Source organism: Homo sapiens, chromosome 8, assembly GCF_000001405.40.
Source record: "Homo sapiens chromosome 8, GRCh38.p14 Primary Assembly".
Taxonomy (NCBI): domain Eukaryota; kingdom Metazoa; phylum Chordata; class Mammalia; order Primates; family Hominidae; genus Homo; species Homo sapiens.
The window spans coordinates 103,748,538-103,775,889 of record NC_000008.11 but is presented as its reverse complement, the minus strand read 5'-3'; the positions used below and the strand labels follow the sequence as shown (position 1 = coordinate 103,775,889).

The window sequence follows — 27,352 nt, the reverse complement described above, 5'->3', positions numbered from 1 at the left end:
ATAGATTCTTTTTTTCACCTAAAAATTGAAATATTTAAGTTACATATTCCATGAGAACAAACTGACTTCTATGCAGTAAAACCAATTATTATACTATGTTAAACATCTTTTTTAAGAGAGATACTTTGTCTTTCAGAGCTCATATCATATTCTTGAAAATAGAAGTCTATTAAGCATTGGCCATATAAGAACAGATCATTATTTGTCTTCAAGTCTATTGATTAATCATCCTTTCAATAAAAGATAAAAATGCTACAGAAAAGACATCAGTCATGTTAAAGACATTTGTTATTTAATTATTACAGCTTTCTCTCATTCATCATATGCACCAAGCATTTATTGAATGTGCATAATTCACAGAAAGTGGCACCAAAGACATAGCCATCTTTGTTGCCTTTTTGTTTCACCTGTATTCTAAAAAGTATAAGAAGAAATATCTAGGAATAAAGGTTATGAGATCATTTGCTTCCAGGTTATTAGATTCTTTTTTCTCCTAAGAAAAACATTGGTGATTTATTTTTTCTAGTTCCTTAGCTCTATAGTTTAACCTCTTTCTTAACCATACTTTGATTTCCTTTTACAAATTATTTCCCTTTACATCATTTTATCTTATTTCTCTCATGGTTATGCTATTTTTTCTTACCACATAGCTCAGATGACCACTTTGAATAAGAGTCATGGCAATCATGGTCATGATTTCATGAAAGCAGACTACCTAGATAGTCCTTAAACCATATGTAATGCACACTTAGTAAATTCTAAATACCATTGATTTGGTGTTAGGTACACTATCAGCATTCTATAAATATAAGCATCTCTGAATTTACTGAAAAAAATCCATTATTGAAACATTGATTATAAAGAAAATTGCATTAATTTAGACTCAATTTCACAATGTCTTAAACATTTACTACTAATAAAATTTCAATGAAACCAGTGATTTTGAAATGCAGCAATTATGCACATAATTCTCCTTTAATTTTTTACTAAATATAATTTACATGCAGTTAAAAGTATACAGATCTTAAACGTTACCGCTATAGTAGCCACTGACAAATACATCACCCAGTAATCCATACCCCTATGAAGATACAGAAGGTTTTCATCACCCCAGAAAGTTCCCTCAAGGAAAACATTGTTATGATTTCTTTTCTATAGATTTGTTTTATCTCTTCTTGACCTTCATATAAATAGAAGCATATCATATGTACTCTTTTGTGTCTAGCTTCTTCCATTCATCACAATGATTTTGAGATTTATCCATGTTTCTGTGGATAAAAATTGAATTATATCTTATGTACTCTTTTGTGCCAAGCTTCTTCCATTCATCACAATGATTTTGAGATTTATCCATGTTTTTGTGCATGTAAATAGTTCCCTCACTTCATTGATAAGTAATACACTTATTTGAATATACTTGAATATACCACAGTTTGTTTATCCATTCTCCTGTTGATGGACATATGGGAAGTTTCCATTTTGGAAATTCTATGAATGAGACTGCTATAAACATTATCATACAAGTATTTTATAGATATATTATTTCATCTCTCTTAAGTAAATACCTAGGAGTAGAACTGCTGTGTCATTGGGAAAGTACATATTTAATTTTATAAGAAACTGTCAAACACTTTTCTAATGTTTAGACCAGTTTATTATTTATTTATTGAGACAGAGTCTCAGTATAAGAAACTGTCAAACACTTTTCTAATGTTTAGATCATTTTAATATTTACTTATTTATTTATTGAGACAGCGTCTCACTCAGTCACCCAGGCTGGAGTGCAGTGGTGCAATCTCAGCTCACTGCAACATCTGCCTCCCGGGTTCAAGCAATTCTTGTGCCTCAGCCTCCTGAGTAGCTGGGATTACAGGCATGTGCCACTGCGTCCAGCTAATTTTTGTATTTTTAGTAGAGACGGGGTTTCACCATATTGGCCAAGCTAGTCTCAAACTCTTCACCTCAAGTGATCTGCCTGCCTCGGCCTCCCACGTTTATACAATTTTAAATGTTTTATACTTTCACTAGCAAGATATTAGCGGTCAAATTCCTCTGAATTCTCACAAAAGGTAAGTGTTGTCAGGATTTTTGTTGTTTTAAATCGTAGGATTTCTAGTGGGTATATCAAAGTATTTCCTTATAGATTTGTTTTGTTTTTTTAGATGGAGTTTTGCTCTTGTCGCCCAGGCTGGAGTGCAATGGCGCCATCTCAGCTCACCGCAACCTCCACCTCCTGGGTTCAAGTGATTCTCCTGTCTCAGCCTTCCTGAGTAGCTGGGATTACAGGTATACACCACCACACCCAGCTAATTTTGTATTTTTAGTAGAGATGGGTTTTCTCCATGTTGGTCAGGCTGGTCTCGAACTCCTGACCTCAGATGATCTGCCTGCCTCTGCCTTCCAAAGTGCTGGGATTACAGGCGTGAGCCACCGTGCCCGGCACTTGATAGTCTTGATTTGCATTTCTCAAATAACTAAACACATAGGACATTTCTTGTACTTACTAGCAATTCATATTTTTTTATAAACAGCTTATTCCAATTTCTTATACTTTAGGCTTATTTTAAGTTAATGAATTTTAAGAGTGCTTTATATATCTTTTTAAGCAATATGCATTTTAAGCAATAAGCAAATATTTTCTCTTGAAATTTCTTGAAATACAACATGGTTATACAGTGTCTTAATGGTGTCTCAATGAATAAAGTTTTTATTTTGATGAAGTCTAATTTGTTGTGGATTTTTTTTTTCATTTTATAGAATTAGTGCTTTCTGTGTCTTGTCTAAGAAATTATTGATTACCCTAAAATTTGGAAGAAGTTATCCTCTAGTTCCTCCTACAAGCTTTACAGTTTTAGCCTAAACCAAGATCAAATAATATTCTCCAATATTTTCTTCCAGAAGTTTTATAATTTTAGCTTTTACATTTATCTCTATGATCCACTTTCAGTTAATTTTATACAGTAAAAAAAGTATGCTTCAAATTTTTTTGCATATGGATATTCAGTTATTCCAGCACCATTTGTTGAAAACACTATCCTTTCTCTACTGAATTGCCTTTGCCTCTCTGTCAAAAATTACTTGTCTATACATGAATGGCTTTATATATAGACTCTCCATTCTGTTTCACTGATCTATTTGTCTTTATGCCAATGCCACAATGTTTTGATTACTGTAGACTTATAATGTGTTGAAATCAGGTAGTGTTATGCCTCTAACTACGTTCTTCCTAAAAGCTGTTTTGGTTATTTCAAACATTTCTATTTTAATTTTAGAATCTATCTGTATATATAAATCAAATTGGGGAGAAAGACATCTTAACAATATTGAGTTGTATGATCCCTGTACACAGTTTATCTTTCTATTTATTCAGACTTTCTTTTATTTCTTTCATCAGTGCTTCAGTGTTTTCAACATATGGACCTTGTACATATTTTGTTAGATTTATAACTAAGTACTTCATTTTTTGGTGCTAGTATAAATGTATTTTGTATTTTTAATGGTCTTAAAGTTTTTTTAAATTTCCATTTATAAGTTTTTCCTTGCTACTATTTAGAAAGATAAATGGTTATCAGACATTGACTATATTCTACAGCCTTACTCTAGTAACAATTTTATAGATCCCATTAATGTTCTATATAAATAATCATGTTCTCTGTGAATAAAGTGTTAGTTCTTTCTTTTCAATCTAGATGGCTTTTATTTTATTGTGCCTATTGCATAATAGTAAATCCAGGCACTATTATTCCATTTGTACTAGAAGCAGAAGTATTAAGCACATATTTTGAATATTATTTTTATTTTTAAATAATCAATGTCACAGAGATATTTGGAAAGTCATAAGTACTAGATAATAAGGAAATGGTGATTACCAAACTGCTAAATATTCATCATATTGAACCTACCTTAAAACTTTACAGTTTAGATCCAAGATAATTGTTTTATATTTTTATTACCCTTGGTATTTTCATTAAGCGTCATCATTTAAGCAGAAAAATGTAGAAACAAATACTACACTGAAATTCAATAAATATCTGTTGAATGAATGAATTATAACAATGAATTATAATATGAATGGAGATAATCCTGCATTAATTTGTCATACAACTACCAGTTATGGGAGGAAAAAAATAGTGAAAGAGAATGCCTTCAAGTTTATCTCATGGCCGAGGAGCTTAAAATACAACACAATAAAGAATTTTAGAACTGGAAGTCTTCTCAGGATTTAGACTGTCTTTTCCCATTCCAGAGATGAGAAAACAGGACATACAGAGAAAAAAATAAACATCTAGAAATGATGACACTATGGGGAAAAGGTGAGAACAGGGCCTAGGTCTTCTGACTTCTAGTTCTTTCTCATCTACCATACAAACTATCCATATTTCTTACTTTTTAACTTCTCTAAATGTTGTAGAAACTGCTACAAATTAAATAGTAAAATTTTGCAAATAAACTTTCCTACATTTCACTAATTTGCAACTATGAAAATTATGAAGCATCCAACTTAAATAATTTCAAATGTAAGAAATATCAATTAAATGTTTTTAAACAGTTTTACTTTAGTTTTCACTAATTTTATTTTCTTAACCAGAAAAAAATCCAGTTTTACAATGTATTTCACAAGTTATTTTGAAATAAAAACATACTTGAAACTCAAAAGTATTTTGCATCTAAGTTGATAAAGAATTGCAATTTATGACTATATGTTAAGTAAGTATTCACCTACTCAACGCTAAGGTTTAGAGCCAACTTGATATTCATTCATTCAATAAATACTAATGGCCTATCTGTAAAACACTGTACCAAAACCTGTGAGAGAAATAACAAGTCATTTAAAAAGGTCAAAACTACTACATCATGTTATAGATTAAAGCTCCTTAAAAGAGTAACATACTTTTCTGTTTCAAATATAGTTATAAGTCCATAGAGATTTAAATTAAGTTGAACTGAAGCTTCTCTTTCTGAAGCCACTGGTTTCTGAATGGTATTGAAAAAACAAATTACTAATGCTTCAAACTGAAATTATATTTCTAGCATTACCTCCATTTCCCTGTCCAATTCAAATACTGCAATAAAACCCATTCTGATAAGAAAGAAGAAAGAGAGACAGAAAGAGAAGGATAGAAGCTGGCAGGCAGGGTGGGAGACGAAGGAACAAAAAAAAAATAGGTTTAATTAAAAAAATTTAAATGGTGACAAAAGAAAATGGGCAAAGGGAGAAATTTCAACAACACTAAGAGAACTGCTCTCTAGGGCAGGGATTGGCAAACTTTTTCTGAAAAGATCAGAGAGCAAATATTTGCAGGGTTTTTTTTTGAGACAGAGTTTCGCTCTTGTTGCCCAGGCTGGAATGCAATGGCACGATCTTGGCTCACTGCAACCTCCAGCTTCCAGGTTCAAGCGATTCTGCTACCTCAGCCTCCCAAGTAGCTGGGATTATAGGCATGCACCATCACACCCAGCTAATTTTTGTATTTTTAGTAAAGACGGGGTTTCACCAAGTTGGCCATGCTGGTCTTGAACTCCTGACCTCAGGTGATCCGCCCTCCTCGGCCTCCCAAAGTGCTGGGATTACAGGCATAAGCCATTGCACCCGGACTATATTTGCAGTTTTGAGACCCATATGGTCTTTCACAACAACTCAACTACGGAATTGTAGCTGACAGCAGCCATAGACAATAAATAAATGAACAGGAGTGGCTGTGTTCCAAAAGAACTTTGTTTACAAAAACCAAGTGGCAAGTCAAATTTGGCCCAGGTTCATAGTTTGCTGACCCCTTGCTGTAAGGGAAGAAATTCAAAGGACTCAATACTGGCTATAGATAAATGTCTAATTAACTACTGTATAATCTGCATTTTAAAATAAAAGAAATACTCTTTAAAGTGTTTCCCAAAAAAAAGTGTATGTAAATTACAATGAGTTCCATTTTCTTGGCATAACTACCAAATCTGATATTAAACTCTAACTTCTTTCCTGACTAAAAGTAATTTTTGTGAACAAAAGGAGCTATTGGTTGGGCATTTGTAAGGTTTGGAAAGAAGATATACAGTATGCTTTTAGTCATTAAGCACGAATTTATTAGTAATAGTAGCCAAAGCACCAGGCAAAAGAGAAAAGAATAAAAGGAACTACAACCTGTTGGCTCCCCACAATAGGTCAATTTCAATTGTTTATTCAGGCCAGTACTTGTGAGTGAAAGAGGCATTAAAGAATATAAGATTTTTATTTGTTCTCATTACCACCTTCTTCAAAGATTACAGATAGGCAACCGGGCACGGTGGCTCACGCCTGTAATCCCAACACTTTGGGAGGCCGAGGTGGGTGGATCATCTCAGTTCAGGAATATGAGACCAGCCTGGCCAACATGGTGAGACCCTGTCTCTACTAAAAATACAAAAAAATTAGCCAGGCATGGTGGTGGGTGCCTGTAATCCCATCTACTTGGGAGGCTGAGGCAGGAGAATCGCTTGAACTCGGGAGGCGGAGGTTGCAGTGAGCTGAGATCATGGCACTGCACTCCAGTCTGAGCAAAAAGAGACTTCTGTCTCAAAACAAAAACAAACAAACAAACAAAAAACAAAGATTACAGATAGGCTTTACCTTGTCTATGATGAATTAATTACTCATAAATTTATTGAATTTATTTTTAACACACGTAACTTCCTGATGAAATGCATTCCAAAACTTAATATTCTATTATGTGACCTAGTGCTTTAGTATTTCATTTTATTCTTACTAACCCTGCCTCTCTAAGCTCCACAAAAAGCTATCTCATGTGGTTAATTTTTAAACAAATGGAGTCTATATTCCTATTATCCTTTTTTTTTTAGTCTGATCTTATCGATTTGTTATTCAAAAAATCTTATTTCTGACTGGATTCAGACTTAGAAGTAGAAGCTTGCAGACAGGAAAGCCTGCATTTCTTAGCAATTTGTTCCTGACGCTTCTGTTTAGCCTCCTTCATTCTCTTGGCCAAAAGTTAAGCATATTCTGCAGCCTCTTCCTAATTTTTCTTAGTATGCTGCTTCTCCAGAGCAATATGGCACCATTTGTGCTGCAGGACACATGGAGTAATAAGACGCTGAATTTTGGGTGCTTTGGTCCTAGGTTTCTTACCTTCTTTGTTTAAAGGCTTTCTTACAACATACTGGTGGACATCATCTTCTTTAGAGAGATTGAAAAGTTTGTGGATTCTGCTAGCTCTTTTGGGCCCCAGGTGATGAGGCATCGTAGTATCAGTCAATCCTGGAATATTTTTATCTCCTTTTTTTACAATAACCAAGTTAGAGCACTCCGATTGGCATCCACAATGCAACCACGAACTGATTTTCTCTTTCTTTCTCCAGTTCTCCTTGGTCTGTAACAGGAATGCCCCTTACTCATTAGCAGGCGGACACGGCCATGAATCAAGACACCCCTCTTCATGGGGAACCATTGTTTGTCATTCCCACCACTGATTAGGACCACATAACCCTTCCATTCTTCAACCAGAGCATCAGCAGCAACTTCTGTGGCCATATGCTTCTCATAAAAAGTGCAGAGTTTGCGTTTATCATCCACTTCAATGAGTTTCTGGCAGCCAGTGGCTGGGAAAGAGATGTCCAGCTTCATCTTGAAGCAGGTGAATGCCTCCAAGGCACCACGAAAAAGAGCCCATTATTCATTTTACTTAGTCATTCATTCACTCATTTTTTAAAAATTCTATCTCCACTGGTTATCTATTTTTTTCATATACCTTGACCATTATAACTGCCATTTGGGGAACTTTCTTGATCTCTGAAGTCACTGTGTAGCAGATACTACCAGCAACCCAACCACATTGCCTCATCATTCACCATTCCCTACATAGCAAAATCTGCTGACTGTAAGTGTTTGTTACACTCTGCCTGAGTGCTTTCTCTAGCCAGTGAGTTTCAGAGAGTTAACAATTCCCAGGATCAGCCCTGGACCAACAATAAAGGAGAGTTGATAAATTAAATACTCCAACTTCCTTGTCCTCTATATAGGATAACTCTGAGGTCTTTCTACCCAGTCTCCCAGAGGAAGTCCCCACAAGATTAAGATGATTGTTTTCCCCAAAGATAGGATTACATGTACTGTTCCCTTTTACTACTTTGCAAAAGAACTGGTGCAGTCATTGTTTTCTTTTTCTCTCAAGATCCAGCAATGTATTGGAGTGGTGACTTTAGGCACCATCTAAAATGACTCCCAGTGGTCTTACTTGTTAGAACTGATACCCAAGAACCTACCATACTATATGTACAATTTAGATTTGTTTCTGCAGGAATGCATGACTTTGTACTTATTCAACACAGAAATGTATCTGCTACTTCTGGGCAACAGAAATAGTATAAACCAGATTTAAATTTATCTTTATTCAAACAGAAAAATAAGGTATAGAAAAATAGGCCGGGCACGGTGGCTCACACCTGTAATCCCAGCACTTTGGGAGGCCGAGGTGGGCAGATCACGGGTCATGAGATTGAGACCATACTAGCCAACGTGGTGAAACCCCGCCTCTACTAAAGTACTAAAAATTAGCCAAGCATGGTGGTGCACACTTGTAGTCCCAGCTACTCGGGAGGCTGAGGCAGGGGAATCGCTTGAACCTGGGAAGCAGGGATTGCAGTGAGCCGAGATCGTGCCACTGCACTCCAGCCTGATGACAGAGCGAGACTCCATCTCAAAAAAAAAAAAAAGAAAGAAAAAGAATCTTCCCATCAAAATCCTTTATTCTCCTTCCAAAGGTAGTAAATATAAGAGCCCTATGTACTATTTTAAGTATCACACTTTGAACACGAAGAAGCCCATAGTACGGAGCCAAAATAGTTACAACAGAGTTAGCACATGGATATATCAAACTCATGAAATCCTTCACTATAAACCTGATGTCGGATCTGCATATACTTGCTTGAAAACCCACATCATCCTTCAGCCCAAGATAGAACCTTTGGAGATATTGTTAACCTTCCCTATTACCTTAACTCCCACTTCCAACTAGTCCCATCAATCCAACCTCTATAAAGAGTCTATAGCCATCTCTTCTTCATTCCCATTAGTCCAATGCTAGTCTGTCTTTCCTTTGACAAAAACTTCTAAGTTCCCTGTTTTATTTCACTTCTTTATGCTGGGAAATCTATCTGATAACCTAACACTCCCACATCAAATCTAAGATAGTTCAAACCTATGATAGGTCAAGTCCTGAACATCACATATAGTATTTATGTAAAACATATGAATGTTTACATTACTTAGACAACTCACCATTGCCTAAACATTTCATGTATTGTTATCTCTGTTTGGAATGAAGACTAAAAGTAATACATTTGCCTAAAGATTAAACAAAATGTTTACCTGTCTGAAGCTATGTCACTGGCAATGTGATGCTTCACGCCTGACCCATTTTTAATAGAATGCTGTCTTGTGAGCCCATGAGATCGACTTTTCTCCACTGCAGGTACAGATAAGTCACCTGAGGGTCCTTGGAACTGGGTCTGCTCATGTAGTTTTGGTTTCTTCTCCTGAGGTGCCTCCTCATTTCTTAGCCCTCGAAGAACCTTTTGATCAGGTTGCTGTGGTGTATTAGATCCACTATTATAAAACCATGCTCCTGATTTAGTGAGGATTTCTTGTTGTTTTCGGCACAAATTACATACCCACATAACCTGCACATGAAGACATAGGGGGAAAAAATTAGTGTTCCCAAAAGTTAAAAACAAATAAAAAGAGACAAAAATTCAAGCAAACAAAAAATTACGTGGTTATCCTTCTGAAGTTAAAACATAATCCTAATTCACTGCTACTGTAAATTAAATAATATATACTTTCTTTTAATTTTTCTGAATAATTCTAATGAAATAGTCAATATTTATTGACCACAGAGATAGCAAACTAGAGTCCTAAATTGCTGATTGTTCATTTGTATTATTTAATTAGTTTTATTTAAATTAGAGGCATTGTGTAATACACAGAAAATAGATTTTGAAACTAGACAGTTGGGTTTAAATACCAACTCCAAAATTAGAAACTTTGCAACTTTCAACAAGGAACTGAAACTTCATATCTATAAAACTTAGTTTCCTTAATGATAAAATAGGGAAATAAAGATGATAATTTCCCTGTAATTTGAGGCTGAATATTAGAAATAATTTATTTAAAATATCTAGAATATTACTTGTTATACGGAAAATTAGCTGTTAGTATTAGGTTAACATTCTAACCGCAATTATATTCTTAAGGGGGCTTTTATTTTTTTCAAGTAGCACCTAATGGCTAAAATAAAGCTACAAGCTTTGTTGATCCTCTATAAAAAACCAATTAATTGCTAATAATTTATACTAATGCATCTGATGTTTTTACTGTGGCAAAAGACACAACATAAAATTTGCCATTTTAACCATTTTTAATTGTACACCTCAGTAGCAGTAAGTATATTCACATTGTGAAACAGATCTTTAAAATTTTTCCTGCAAGATTGAAACTCTACACCCACTAAACAGCAACAGCCCTTTTCCTCTCCTCCAACCCCGGCACAACTATTCTATACTCAATTTTTCTACAGATATATTTTTCAGACTCCAGAAATCTAAACATATTGTAATTAATATCTCTGTGGCCAGAAAGCCCTTCACCCTTTTCTGAAAAATCCTTTTCAATTAATCATTTAAAAAGCCATATTATCATAAAATAACCGTTCATAATTCAAGTGTGTGAGTGCTAATGTTTTGTTTATGTCAAATACTTACTCTTACACAGCTCTCCAGGTTGCTAAACATTTTCTCACATAAAATAAATTACAACAGTATAATCACAGTAAAAGTTTCAACATGGCATTTTCAACTGACACAAAAATGTTTTTGTAAAATACCATGTAGATTTTTTACCTTATTGTCCATTATTCCATTTCATAGTTTGTACAGATCTTATCACACAACATTGTACTTGCTCATTTTTATTATTTTGTTCTTTCATTGAATTGTATATACATTTCTTTTCTCCCCAATTAAATTTGAAGTTTATTGAAGGCAGGAACTACATCTTCTACTAGCATAATAAAACCTTATAAATTATAGAATAGTAAGATATAATAAATGTTTGCTAAGTTTAGGTTGTTTAAAATTCTTCTGGGGGAAATATGGTAATAATATATTTGATATTATTAAGCCAAGATGTATGTTCATTAATTTCCTAAAGAATTAGTCATAAATAATATCAATATATGTATGTATTTTATTTTTATAAGTATTTTGATGTGAAAACACCATTATCTCACTGAAATTAAAAAGAACATGCCTCAGTTCAAATTTCTTTTGCTATAATTAGTTTTAATAGACATGAAATATATCTAACCCATCAACAGTCTCAAAAAATGAAATTTGAGCCAGCATCTCAGCCTTTTGATGCCATCTTGTGACAAACGCAGGTACTACAGATCTCTTTTAAAAAGTCACGCAAAACAGAACCACAAAATAATGTAAAAATAAATGAAGTTTGAATGTCAACTTTTCTGTTTTAAACAAGTTGTTATTTATGCTTCAGTGATAATCTATTCTAGATGATTATAAGATATGAATTTATCTGAATTAGGTCACACTCAGAGTACTGAAGAAGAGCATCCCTTTGTGCCTGGTAATTAACAACAAACGAGAGCTTGTGAGACAGACAATTATCCAATCACTATCATCTGCAGAAACAGCATTTGCTGCTTTGTAACAGTTGAAAAATAAAATTTTTCACAAGGTAAGCAGGTTACTTAATGTATTTCAGAGCAGAGCTTCTCAAAGAATATCCCTGGGAGAATAGCATCAGTATCACCAGAAGTGCCGATTCCCAGGTCCCACCCCAGACTTACTGAATAGGAAACTCTGGGGCAGTGCCCAGCAATATTTTTTCCCCAAACCCTCCAGGTAATTCTGATGTTTGCTAACATTTGAGAACCACCGGTCTATGGCAGAGATTCGTAGTTCAATATGTTAAATGGGTTACAAGTATGCTCCTCAGACTGGCTAAGACCAAAGGAGTTCATACACAGCCTTGTCAGTTTACCTTAGTGTGAACTGCTGACTGTACAAGTAGTATTGTTTCTGTGGAGCCCAAAATGAGAAAAAGAATTGGAAACACTATCAGCTTAATTTTCCTCATCTGTTAATATCTAGTGAATATTAATATAAGACAGATGAGCATAAGGTATGAAGGATGATGTCTGATTCCCATTAAAGACTCTCCATGTGTTAATATCCTTCTCACATTGCCTGGGCTATGCACACTGCTTGTTCCTTTTCTGACTAGATCATTTGTTCCTTCCTAAATCACTAGCTCCTATATCCTTCCTTTCCTCCCTTCTTCCCTCCCTTATTCCGTATCCCTCCTTCCCTTATCCTATATTCCTCGCTTTCTCCCTTCCTTATTTCCTTCCTCCCTCCCTTCCTTTCTTCCTTCTTCTTTTTTTTTTTCCTTGAAACAGGGTCTTACCTTGTCACCTAGGCTGGAGTTCAGCGGCACAATATCAGTTCACTGTAGCCTCAACCTCCCAAGTTAAAATGAATCTCCTGCCTCAGTCCCTCAAGTAGCTGGGAGTATGGGCATGTGCCACCACGCCAGCTAATTTTTGTATTTTTGTAGAGATGGGGTTTCACTATGTTGCCCAGGCTGGTCTTGAATGCCTGAGTTCAAGCAATCTGCCCACTTCAGCCTTCCAAAGTGCTAGGATTACAGATGTGAGCCACCATGCCTCCTAGTATTTTCCTATTCATATATTGACACCCTGGTTACCTTTCTTTTCTTCTTCTACCATCTCCTCCTACTCTTGGATTAATAGTTTATTAATCCTTTAAGCTCAGGAATTCCGGATCTACCCACATCAAGTACTGCCATGTGCTGCATAACAATAGTTCAGTCAACAAAAGACCATATATAGAAGGGTGGTTCCCTAATATTATAATACCGTATTTTTACCATGCCTTTTCTATATTTAAATATGTTCAGATACATAAACACTTTTAATTATGTTACTACTGCCTACAATATTTAATACAGTAACATGTTGTACAGGTTTGTAGCCTAGGAGCAACAGACTATATCATCTAGCCTAGGTGTGTAGAAGGCTATACCATCTAGATTTGTTTAAGTACACTCCATGATGTTAGCATGACAAAATTGCCTAATGATGCACTTCTTGGGCTGTATCTCCATCATTAGCAACACAATTGTAGTACAGAAAAACTGATACTTTCACTTGTAGCCCTTTACACAGAAAGCAGCTTAGCTTATAAATTGGCGACGGTATTGAATTACCTCTCACACACACCAATACCTCTCACAAATACATATATGTTGTGAAATGATTTTTCATTAATTGACTATGAAATGATTAATAGCTATTAGAGATAAATTCTGTGTCCATGGAACAAAATTTATCTAATTTGGCAATAAAGTCACAGGCCTTTTGCTAATAGAACGCTTTAACCAATTAAGTTAACCACATAAGGAATGCCATCTAAAATATGTTAGAAATATATATGCCTATAAATCTCCCTGGTTAGAGACTATTAACTGATTCTCATAATTACCAAAAACATCTAGAACCTGAGAATACAAAACATACAGGGTTCAAAATTATAAATTATTATTACCTTCAGTCCTAAATATGTCAAAATTTTAAAAATAATATAGAAATATTAAGAGATGGAATAATCTCTAATGACCCAAATTTGTCACTTACTTCCATATGTTTTATTCCATAAACATTCTTAGGAATGTTAGGAAAGGAAGGGAAAAAAACTAAGGAAAATACAAATATCTTTTTTAAACCACAAAAATAATAACCATAACAGCTGCAGTGAATACTAAAAGAAAGCAAAAAAAAAAAAAAATTTACATTAGGTATATACAATAATTGAGAGCAATCTAAAGGTCTGCAAAATACTATGATTTTCTTCTAAACAGGGACAAAAAAATAGAGTAATTCAAAAAAGGGAGGGATTATAGTTTAAAGACTTACACTAACGAGACCATAGGCCAAGCTCCTATGATCCAGCTAACTGCACAGAAAAAGGAATTCACTAGACTCTACCTCTAACCATTGCCAACCTGCTTATAAATATGTGTGCATTTGTCAGAGAAGAAATAAGGTAAAAGAGTATAAATTGATCAAGTAACCATTACATAAATAGAAAATTGTGAAAGATTCTGGCTAGCTATTCAACAACTTATTTCCTTTCCTCTTAGAAAACTACATTTTCCATGTTATCTTGGGCAGCTATGACCATACAATTATATTCTACCAATGGATTATAAGTGGAATGGGTGTGCCACTTTCATAAACTTTTAAAAATTCTCATGTGCTATCTTCATGCTGTTCAGCCAAGACCTTGGAGATAAGGAAGCCACAGGAAAAAAAGGTGCCTGGGAACCTGAATAATCACTAGGAGGAGAGCACTCAGCTGATCAGCTTACCAGTGTGGACTTCACATAGGTGAAAACTAAACTTCTACTAAGTTGAGCTTTAAAGATTTTTTGAGTTTACCTTCTATAATTGATTGCATTACCTTGACTAATTCACAGTCTTTTTAAAGTACATGCTTATTCAATGTGTATTACTAGCACAATCTTGTATGTGAAGAACAATCCATTACCAGGGCATGAATATGAAAGAGCTTCGGTGTTGTTCACTAACTCATGAAAACAAATTGTGTGCTTTCTCCCTAACTCCACATTCCATGAAGTAATGTGGGTTAGCTTGAAATCAGCTGTGGTGGATGTATTTAGACTAAATAAATTGGAAAATGCCAAAAGTCAGAGATTTTTCTAAAAGAGAGCTGGTTGTTAGCACGTATGAACACACCAGTGACTATAATATATTCACTACATTCTACTAAAAGAATAATATTACATTTAGTTTAGTAGATAAACTTAGATGAAGCTATAATTTGCCATAAAAATTAATTGAAATCATAGAATTCCAATTTATTTATAGATGGGCAAGTAACTATTAACACCAATTCATTATTTATTTACTTATACAATATTTACTAAATGGCTACTATATGCCAAATGCTATGCTAACAGCTGGTGAATAAAGCTCAACAAATATACATTTTGCTACAGAGTATAAAGTGTACTAGGGAGACAATAAGCAAACAAATAATTGCACAAATATTGTTATAATTACGGTAAATGTTACAAAAGGAATGCAGTCCCACCATAGATCTTTCCCTCTGGCCCACATTGTGTTTGGAAAAAAAACAAGAATGCAGAGATCTACAATAGGTCTGGAAATCCAGAGGCTCAACCAGAGCATTACCCTAAAGCATTCCCATGATCAGATCCATGGTGTCTGTGTCTCTAAAAAGGCAGAATTCAAGGGTAGCTTGCGCTACTAAACTACAAGCCCTCACCCAGCACTGCCATGGTGGATTTTGAAAGTAGACACATTGGCTCATATCCCAGAAGGTTAACATTTTCTAATAGGATTCCTTAGGCAATTAAGAGATACTGTCATCTGTAAATACTAAGATTCTGGATTACAAAACAAAAATCAGAAATTTTCTTCATCTGATGCCCCTGATACAAGCAGCAGAACTTCCAGATTTACCATGAATTGTAATCACAGCATTTCTAGCAATAGTCACACTTACAGGCTGAAGCAGGAATGTCTGATGGGTCTTCATTAAATCTCTTGGGAGGCAACAGCACATCCTCCTGAGAGCTTTAACCTTAAGCATTTCCCAGTCTTAGCTGTTACAAATCCTTCTATGTTGGCTATCGCTGTGGCTTTGAAAAATTTACTCACAAAGAAAGGTAGCGTATTTATTTCTCTATTTTTGATCTGATTTTTGTCAACAGCACACTTGCCAGATTCTTCTTTAAAGCTACTCAGTAAATTGTAGTCCAATAAATAATAGCTCCTTTGGACAAGTTCTCTATTTCTGATATTTCTGCTCCTTTTTTGGCTGTTCTCCAAGAAAGTATTCAGGTGTTCTGTGAGGCTTATGCTGCTACACAACCTGCAGCTCATCCAATCGATAGTCTGATTCTTCTCAACTTAGACAGACTTGCACTTCTCAATAAACCTGATCTCACTTCGGTTCCCACCAGCACTGCCAAACACTTAGTCCCTGAATGACCCTCTATTCCACTATGGCAAAAGCTGTCTATTCTGCAGCTTCTTCTGCAAAGTCATCTCATCCCTCACTATAGATAGGTGTCATGTCTGGGACATGTAGTTATGCTCATGCCACACTAGAACAAAGGACAGTTCTGGAAGTCAAGTCTGGCCTTTTCTTGGCCTTTCTTTTTTCTTTTCTTTTTTTTTTTTTTTTTTTTTTTTGAGACGGAGTCTCGCTCTGTCGCCCAGGCTGGAGTGCAGTGGCACAATCTCTGCTCACTGCAAGCTCCGCCTCCCAGGTTCACGCCATTCTCCTGCCTCAGCCTCCCGAGTAGCTGGGACTACAGGCGCCCACCGCCACGCCCAGCTAATTTTTTGTATTTTTAGTAGAGAAAGGGTTTCACCGTGTTAGCCAGGATGGTCTCGATCTCCTGACCTCGTGATCCGCCTGCCTCGGCCTCCCAAAGTGCTGGGATTACAGGCGTGAGCCACCACACCTGTCCTTCTTGGCCTTTCTTAATCATGATCCGCTGCCAAGTTCATTCTGAAGTATCTATGCCCCTGATGGATGCTAGGGCATCCCGAAGGGTGATTCCCTTCCATGGATCTCAAATAATAATAAGAGTAAAAGATGCCCTTCAATTTAACAAAAATGCATCCTCGTCCTGAGTCAAAGCCTGGAAAGAAGAGACTGGAACATACCTCTAATCATCTACTGGCCTCACCTGTCTTCTTTCTCCTCCCCTACAATGTAGAAGAATAGAAGAAACAAGCTTTTCCTTGACTGTTCTTTTCTGTATACCTAACACTTTCCCCAAATACCCTCAGCTTGAAGTAATGAGCTTCAGTCTTCCCATTTCATCGATTTCATCCAATTAAAATTATAGTGAGTTTTACCACTTTGCCTAAATTTAAACTTTTAACCCTCTCTATTACTTTTCCCAAACTCTATTTTTCTCTACTTATTTGTAATTTGTAAGTAAGTTGTTTTATGCCATGATATAAATCTAAACTTTTAACCTTTCTTCTGCTAAAAGCAGACATGTCTTTCAATAGAAAGACTGTTGTTTCTACACCCAGAATTTTAACTTATAAATGAATAAATAAAAGTAAAAAAGAAATGAAAGGAAATTAGCAGAGCTAAAGCCTCAGGTCTACTATGTCCCCAGCCAAACAGCAGGTACCAGTGAATAAGAGCACAGGTCTTATGGTTTAACAGAACTAGAAGTGCTGCATGTGAAATGACAAACTGAAATTCATGTTCACGTCTTCATTAATAAAAAAAAGCTGAAAAAAATGCTGTGGAAATCTTCTCAACCTACAGCTTCCTAGAAGCTGTAGGCTTGGGCAAGTGGGACACACTTGTAACTTTGACACTGAACAAAGCCTCCACAGACTTGGTTTGTATATATGAATTTATAAGATCACTAATGTAAAATATCACTAATATATTAATTTGCAATATCACTCAATACCAAGATTGAGGCAAGACCACAGCTCATTAATGAATATCTGGTTCTGAACTGGAGATCCCAGAGACTGCATGAAGGCAATCATGAAATTATTAATAAGGAAGAAGTAAGTTCAGAGGAAAGAGGAAGGAAGAAAGAGAAGAAGAGAAAGACAGGAGGTCCTAGATAGCTATCTAAAGTCTATCTAACTCTAGATAGCTATCTAAAACTTATTCAAAAATATTACAGAAGGGGGAAAAATGGAAACTTCCATGACTCAAATTACAAATTACCCCAAACTGGTGGCTTAAAACAACAAGAAATGTATTCCCTCACAGCTCTGGGACAAGAAGTCCAATTTCAATATCACCTGACCAAAATCAAGATGTCAACAGGGCCATGATCCTTCAGAAGGCTCTAGGGAAAACCAGTTCCTTGTCTCCTCTGGCAATCAGCTTCTGGTGAGTATCATCATTCCTTGGCTTGTGGCCACATCAATCCAATATTCAAAAACAGCATCTTCGAACTCTCTCTGTTAAATCTTCACATCGCCTTCTCTTCTGTGTTTGTGCACAGATACATATGCACTGATGATACAAGGGATTGCATTTAGGGCCAACCTGCATAATCTCCCTATCTCAAGATCTTTACTGTATCACACCTGCATGTTGTTTGAGGAAAGAGAAGAGTTGGGGGCCATATAAGATAACATTCATAGGTTTCAGGAATTAAGACATGGTTATCTTTAGAGGGGCCATTTTTCTGCCTACCATAGACAAAATTAAAGTAAAATTATAGCCCAATAGCACAAGTGGAAATGAATGCATACGTTTTAAAAATGTGAACCAAATCCTTAATTTTATACAGCAAATATATATGAGAAAGAAATGAATAAAGACGAACCTACCATGACAAAGGGGAGATTAAACCAAAGATGCAAGAATAGTTAAATTCATCAAATTAATCAAATTCACCAAATTAATTAATTAAAATAGAAATAAAATGGCATTATCAATACATACAGAAAAACCATTCAGCATTCATAAAATGCAAGATTCGTTTGTGTGAAAACAATATAAAATGCAGCAAACTAAATATTATAAAAATTAGCAATGCTTTAACCTAATAAAGGATATCTACAAAACCTCTATATCCTATTTTATATTTAAGAATCAAAGGTAAGAGCATTCCTTTTAAAGTAGGAAATGATCTAAGGATTCCCGGTATCACCACCTCTGTTCTACACTGTATTGGAGATGCTAGCCAAGTAAATCTCTCCTGAATATCTCTCTCTGTATCTCTCTCTCTCTCTCTCTCTCTCTCTCACACACACACACACACACACACACACACACAGACACACACACACATACGAGAAAGGATGAAATAAAACTGTCCTTATTTGAACACTATTTGATTGGCAATGCCATTTGATTATGACAGAAAATCCAAAAATCTACAGCCAAAATATTGAGTAGTAAGGGAGCTCAGTAAGTTTCCTGGATCAAATCATGATTAAGCAAAATAAACAGCATTTCTATACACCACCTATAACCAATTACAAAACATTAAATAAAATTTTTAAAGATGTCTGTCATAAAGAAAAATAACAGGCTGGGCACAATGGCTATGCCTATAGTCCTAGCACTTTGGAAGGCTGAGTGGGCAGACTGCTTGCACTCAGGAGTTCGAGACCAGCCTGGGCAACATGGCAAAACCCCATCTCTACAAAAAATTAAACAATTAGCTGGACATAGTGGCGTGGCCCACCCCACCATAGGGCTGAGACAGGAGGATCAGTTGAGCCCAGCAGGTCAAGGCTGCAGTGAGCCAAGATGTGCCACTGCACTCCAGCCTGGGTGACAAAGTGACACCTGTCTTAAGAAAGAAAAAAAAAAAGAAAGAAAAGAAAATAATATACAAGAGTCCTGCAAAAAAAAAAAAACAAAAACAACAACAACAACAAAAAACTCTCCCAAGGATCCATTCCAAGATGGCCGACTAGGAACGGCTCCGGTCTGCAGCTCCCAGTGGGATCAAGGCAGAAGATGGGTGATTTCTACATTTCCAACTGAGCCTCTGCTGGTGATACCCAGGCAAACAGGGTCTGGAGTGGACCTCCAGCAAACTCCAACAGATCTGCAGATGAGTGACCTGACTGCTAGTAGGAAAACTAACAAACAGAAAGGAGTACCATCAACATCAACAAAAAGGACATCCACACCAAAACCCCATCTGTAGGACACCAACATCAAAGATCAAACGTAGATAAAACCACAAAGATGGGGAGAAACCAGAGCAGAAAAGCTGAAAATTCTAAACACCAGAGCACCTCTTTGCCGCCAAGGGATTGCAGCCCCTCGCCAGCAATGGAACAAAGCTGGACAGAGAATGACTTTGATGAGTTGACAGAAGTAGGCTTCAGAAGGTCAGTAATAACAAACTCCTCCAAACTAAAGGAACATGTCCTAACCCAATGCAAGGAAGATAAGAACCTTGAAAAAAGGTTAGATGAATTGCTAAATAGAATAATCAGTTTAGAGAAGAACATAAATGAACTGATAGAGCTGAAAAACACATCACGAGAACCTTGTGAAGCATACACAAGTATGATTACCTCAATTGATCAAGTGGAAGAAAGGATATCAGAGATTGAAGATCAACTCAATGAAATAAAACAAGAAAACAAGATTAGAGAAAAAAAGTGAAAATGAACAAAGCCTGCAAGAAGTAAAGGACAATGTGAAAAGACCAAATCTATGTTTGACTGGTGTACCTGCAAGCGATGGGGAGAATAGAACCAAGCTGGAAAACACTCTTCAGGATATTATCCAGGAGAACTTCCCCAGCCTAGCAAGGCAGGCCAATATTCAAATTCAGGAAATATAAAGAACACCATAAAGATACTGCTCGAGAAGAGCAACCCCAAGACACATAATCGTCAGATACACCAAGGTTGAAATGAAGGAAAAAATATTAAGGGAAGCCAGAGAGAAAAGGCAGGTTACCCACAAAGGGAAGCCCATGAGAATAACAGTGGATATCTTGGCAGAAACTCTACAAGCCAAAACGGAGTGGGGGCCAATATTCAACATTCATAAAGAAAAGATTCTCCAACCCAGAATTTCATATCCAGTCAAACTAAATTTTATAAGTGAAGCAGAAATAAAATTCTTTACACACAAGGAAATGCTGAGAGATTTTGTCACCACCAGGCCTGTCTTACAAGAGCTCTTGAAGGAAGCACTAAACATGGAAAGGAACAACCGGTACCAGCCACTGCAAAAACATACCAAATTGTAAAGACCATGGACACTATGAAGGAACTGCATAAACTAACGGGCAAAATAACCAGCTAGGATCATAATGGCAGGATCAAATTCACACATAACAATATTAACCTTAAATGTAAAACGGGCTAAAGGTGCCAATTAAAAGACACAGACTGGCAAATTGGATAGAGTCAAGACCCATCAGTGTGCTGTATTCAGGAGACCCATCTCACGTGCAGAGACACATATAGGCTCAAGGTAAAGGGATAGAGGAAGATCTACCAAGCAGGTGGAAAGCAAAAAAAAGCAGGGGTTATAATCCTAGTCTCTGATAAAACAGACTTTAAACCAACAAAGATCAAAAGAGACAAAGAAGGCCATTATATAATGGTAAAGGGATCAATTCAACAAGAAGAGCTAACTATCCTAAATATATATATACTCAATACAGGATCACCCAGATTCATAAAGCAAGTCCTTAGAGACCTACAAAGAGACTTAGACTCCCACACAATAATAATGGGACACTTTAACACCCCACTGTCAACAAGAGACAGATCAATGAGACAGAAAGTTAAAAACGATATCCAGGAATTGAACTCAGCTCTGCACCAAGCGGACTTAATAGACATCTACAGAAGTCTCCACCCCAAATCAACAGAATATACATTCTTCTCAGCACCACAACGCACTTATTCTAAAACTGACCACATCGTTGGAAGTAAAACACTCCTCAGCAAATGTAAAACAACAGAAATTATAACAAACTGTCGCTCAGACCACAGTGCAATCAAGTTAGGACTCAGGATTAAGAAACTCACTCAAAACCGCTCAACTACATGGAAACTGAACAACCTGCTCCTGAATGACTACTGGGTACATAACGAAATGAAGGCAGAAATAAAGATGTTCTTTGAAACCAATAAGAACAAAGAAACAACGTACCAGAATCTCTGGGACACACTTAAAGCAGTGTGTAGAGGGAAATTTATAGCACTAAATGCCCACAAGAGAAAGCAGGAAAGATCCAAAATTGACACCCTAACATCACAATTAAAAGAACTAGAGTAGCAAGAGCAAACACATTCAAAAGCTAGCAGAAGGCAAGAAATAACTAAGATCAGAGCAGAACTGAAGGAGATAGAGACACAAAAAACCCTTGAAAAAATCAGTGAATCCAGGAGCTGGTGTTTTTAAAAGATTGACAAAATTGATAGACCACTAGCAAGACTAATAAAGAAGAAAACAGAGAAGAATCAAATAGACGCAATAAAAAATGAGAAAGGGGATATCACCACCAATCTCACAGAAATACAAACTACCATCAGAGAATACTATAAACACTTCAACACAAATACATTAGAAAATCAAGAAGAAATGAATAAATTCCTGGACACATACACCCTCCCAAGACTAAACCAGGAAGAAGGTGAATCTCCGAATAGACCAATAATAGGCTCTGAAATTGAGGCAATAACTAATAGCTTCCTAACCAAAAAAAGTCCAGGATTCACAGCCGAATTCTACCAGAGGTATAAGGAGGAACTGGTACCATTCCTTCTGAAACTATTCCAATCAATAGAAAAAGAGGGAATCCTCCCCCTAACTCATTTTATGAGGCCAGCATCATCCTGATACCAAAGCCGGGCAGAGACACAACCAAAAAAGAGAATTTTAGACCAATACCCTTGATGAACATCGATGCAAAAATCCTCAATAAAACACTGGCAAACTGAATCCAGCATCACATCAAAAAGCTTATCCACCATGATCAAGTGGACTTCATCCCTGGGATGCGAGGCTGGTTCAATATACGCAAATCAATAAATGTAATCCAGCATATAAACAGAACCAAAGACAAAAACCACATGATTATCTCAATAGATGCAGAAAAGGCCTTTGACAAAATTCAACTACCCTTCATGCTAAAAACTCTCAATAAATTAGGTATTGATGGGATGTATCTCAAAATAAGAAGAGCTATCTATGACAAACCCACAGCCAATATCATACTGAATGGGCAAAAACTGGAAGCATTCCCTTTGAAAACTGGCACAAGACAGGGATGCCCTCTCTCACCACTCCTATTCAACATAGTGTTGGAAGTTCTGGCCAGGGCAATTAGGCAGGAGAAGGAAATAAAAGGTATTCAATTAGGAAAAGAGGAAGTCAAATTGTCCCTGTTTGCAGATGACATGATTGTATATATAGAAAACCCCCATTGTCTCAGCCCAAAATCTCCTTAAGCTGATAAGTAACTTCAGCAAAGTCTCAGGATACAAAATCAATGTACAAAAATCACAAGCATGCTTATACACCAATAAGAGACAAACAGAGAGCCAAATCATGAGTGAACTCCCATTCACAGTTGCTTCAAAGAGAATAAAATACCTAGGAATCCACCTTACAAGGGACATGAAGGACCTCTTCAAGGAGAAATACAAACCACTGCTCAATGAAATTAAAGAGGATACAAACAAATGGAAGAACATTCCATGCTCATGGGTGAAAATGGCCACACTGCCCAAGGTAATTTATAGATTCAATGCCATCCCCATCAAGCTACCAATGACTTTCTTCACAGAATTGGAAAAAACTACTTTAAAGTTCATATGGAACCAAAAAAGAGCCCGCATCGCCAAGTCAATCCTAAGCCAAAAGAACAAAGCTGGAGGCATCACGCTACCTGACTTCTAACTATACTAGAAGGCTACAGTAACCAAAACAGCATGGTACTGGTACCAAAACAGAGATATAGATCAATGGAACAGAACAGAGCCCTCAGAAATAACGCTGCATATCTACAACTATCTGATCTTTGACATACCTGAGAAAAACAAGCAATGGGGAAAGGATTCCCTATTTAATAAATGGTGCTGGGAAAACTGGCTAGCCATATGTAAAAAGCTGAAACTGGATCCCTTCCTTACACCTTATACAAAAATCAATTCAAGATGGATGAAAGACTTAAACATTAGACCTAAAACCAGAAAAACCGTAGAAGAAAACCTAGGCATTACCATTCAGGACACAGGCATGGGCAAGGACTTCATGTCTAAAACACCAAAAGCAATGGCAACAAAAGCCAAAATTGACAAATGGGATCTAATTAAACTAAAGAGCTTCTTCTGCACAGCAAAAGAAACTACCATCAGAGTGAACAGGCAACCTACAAAATGGGAGAAAATTTTCTCAACCTACTCATCTGACAAAGGGCTAATATCCAGAATCTACAATGAACTCAAACAAATTTACAAGAAAAAAACAAACAACCCCATCAAAAAGTGGGCGAAGGACATGAACAGACACTTCTCAGAAGAAGACATTTATGCAGCCAAAAAACACATGAAAAAATGCTCACCATCACTGGCCATCAGAGAAATGCAAATCAAAACCACAATGAGATATCATCTCACACCAGTTAGAATGGCAATCATTAAAAAGTCAGGAAACAACAGGTGCTGGAGAGGATGTGGAGAAATAGGGACACTTTTACACTGTTGGTGGGACTGTAAACTAGTTCAACCATTGTAGAAGTCAGTGTGGTGATTCCTCAGGGATCTAGAACTAGAAATACCATTTGACCCAGACATCCCATTACTGGGTATATACCCAAAGGATTATAAATCATGCTGCTATAAAGACACATGCACACGTATGTTTATTGTGGCATTATTCACAATAGCAAAGACTTGGAACCAACCCAAATGTCCAACAATGATAGACTGGATTAAGAAAATGTGGCACATATACACCATGGAATACTATGCAGCCATAAAAAAGGATGAGTTCATGTCCTTTGTAGGGACATGGATGAAACTGGAAACCATCATTCTCAGTAAACTATCGCAAGGACAAAAAACCAAACACCGCATGTTCTCACTCATGCGTGGGAACTGAGATGGGGCAATTTACAAAAGAAAGAGGTTTATTGGACTTACAGTTCCATGTGGCTGGGGAGGCCTCACAATCCTGGTGGAAGGTGAAAGGCCCATCTCACATGGGAGTAGACAAGAGAAGAGAGCTTATGCAAGGAAACTGCCCTTTTTAAAACCATCAGATCTCTTGAGACTTATTCTCTATCAGGAGAACAACACGAGAAAGACCTGCCCCCATGATTCAATTACCTCCTACTGCGTCCCTCCCACAACACGTGGGAATTCAAGATGAGATTTGGTTGGGGACATAGCCAAAGCATATCGCTGGGTAATTTATAAAGACAAGTGGTTTAATTGACTCACAGTTCCACTTTGCTGGTGAAGCCTCAGGAAACTTACAATCATGGTGGAAGGCATCTCTTCACAGGGCAGCAGGAGAGAGAATGAGTGCCAGCAGGGGAAATGCCTGTCACTCATTCTCTTATAAAACAGACACCTATAAAACCATCAGATCTCCTGAGACTCATTAACATGGGAACAACATGGGGTAAACCGCTTCCATGATCCAATGATTTCTACTTGGTCCCACACTTGACACGTGGGGATTATTAAAATTCAAGGTGAGATTTGGGTGGGGACACAAAGCCAAACCGTATCATAAACACATAATAATGAATGGGGTCTCCATCCCCTCAAATATTTATCCATTGAGTTGCAAACAATCCAATTACACTCTTTGTTATTTTAAAATGAAATGACTTATAATTTTGTAATTTAAGCATCATAACTGGCAAAATCTTCTATATAATGGAAAAGAAAACTGTCAACTGATAGTATATTTGTATTTATGTCTTGTTTAATCTTTGAATCAGTAAATATGTGATGGAAAATAATTCTTCTAATTAATATCACCACATTTTGTAATGGGGAATTATGATACTTTTTGAACTGATTCTTTTTGTTTTACTAAAGTTACTATATTTTTAATGGAAATTTTTTTTTCTTAGGGGAAAAAATAGGTTAACAATGTAATATCAATATGCAGTGAATCCAGTTGGGCCAGATTGAAAAAAGTGCTATAGCACAGACTAGTGGGAAAACTTAATAACTGCAGAAATGTTCCATTTCCTTAATCTTGTAGGATATACCCACTGTTTTAACAGCTGTCTTAAAAAAAAATTACTTGGAGGAATTTAAGCTTAGAACCCAATTCTGAATTAAAATAAGATTTTTAAATTGTATATTTATTATGAAGGCAGCAATCACCTATTCTGATAATAATCAATAAACAATCAAATGCTTCCCAATGACTAATTTACTTTGGAAACCACTTCCTAGTTTTTTGATAAAATTTCATTTAGAACAGAACATTTATAAAATGAATTGGTTAACATTTATGTAATCACCTGATCCCTTTATTCCCACTACTTCACAAAAAAAGGCCTGAAAATAAGCTATATTGCATTTGTAAAATTATATTAGTGTGAAAATTTAGTAATTCTCAATTAACTAATATATTTATGTCAAATGCATATTTACTTCCAGTAATAAGCATGAAAACAGACTAATACACCCAGTCTCAGGTATTTCTTCATAACAACATGAGAACAGACTAATACAACTTATTTCACATTGCATGCCTCTATCAAAACACCTCATGCTCCCCACAAATATATACACCTACTATGTACCAAAAAAATTAAAAATATTAAAGTAAAATAATAGTTTAAAAAATGAAAAGAAAGAGAGTTTAGTTTTTCTTAAAATAGAAAGTGGCCAGGCGCCGTGGCTCATGCCTGTAATCCCAGCACTTTGGGAGGCCAAGGCGGGCGGATCACGAGGTCAGGAGATCGAGACCATCCTGGAGAACATGGTGAAACCCCGTTTCTACTAAAAATACAAAAAAGTTAGCCGGGCGTGCTGGCGGATGCCTGTAGTCCCAGCTACTCGGAAGGCTGAGGGAGGAGAATGGCATGAACCTGGGAGGCGGAGCTTGCAGTAAGCCGAGATCACGCCACTGCACTACAGCCTGGACAACAGAGGGAGACCCCGTCTCAAAAAAGAAAAAAAAAAAATAGAAAGCATATGGCCAGGCACGGTGGCTAATGCCTGTAATCCCAGCACTTTGGGAGGCCGAGGTGGGCGGATCACCTGAGGTTGGGAGTTTGAGACCAGCCTGACTAACATGAGAAACCCTGTCTCTACTAAAAATACAAAATTAGCTGGGCTTCGTAGTGCATGCCTGTAATCCTAGCTACTCAGGAGGCTGAGGCAGGTGAATTGCTTGAACCTGGGAGGCGGAGGTTGCGGTGAGCTGAGATCATGCCATTGCGCTCCAGCTTGGGCAACAAGAGTAAAACTCTGTCTCAAAAAAAAAAAGTAGAATGTATATTCACATAGAAGGTTTCACTTAAAATGGTGATTGGAACATGAAAATTTCTGAAGAGGATAAATTATAAAAGACAAAGGACCAGACATAATTATATAAAGATTAACAGATGGTAAAGAAGACAATGCTTTATACAAATTGAAGAGAACCGAAGATGTAAACTAGAGGCAATGATGGTGAAATAGTAATGAAATTTGGTGATATGGAAATCACCAGAACGACCTTGCAGAGAAGAAATTTTTAAAGAAGGAATGTTAAT

At 36.5% G+C, this 27,352-nt stretch overlaps 1 protein-coding gene and 1 pseudogene across 47 annotated transcripts in view; both read right to left on the bottom strand.

Annotated features, from left to right (window-relative positions):
• The window catches only part of RIMS2 (regulating synaptic membrane exocytosis 2), a 755,485-nt gene that overhangs the window by 480,205 nt on the left and 247,928 nt on the right, over positions 1–27,352 (bottom strand). For all 47 annotated transcript variants that reach the window (NR_145710.2, XM_017014015.3, XM_017014010.3 and 44 more), the window contains one exon: positions 9,353–9,663. Coding sequence is in view for 46 of the 47 variants with exons in the window: in XM_017014015.3 (XP_016869504.1) it covers positions 9,353–9,663 (311 nt within the window). In the remaining variant the exon portion in view is untranslated. The remainder of the gene's footprint in view (positions 1–9,352; positions 9,664–27,352) is intronic.
• Positions 6,827–7,650, bottom strand: RPS6P9 (ribosomal protein S6 pseudogene 9; annotated as a pseudogene).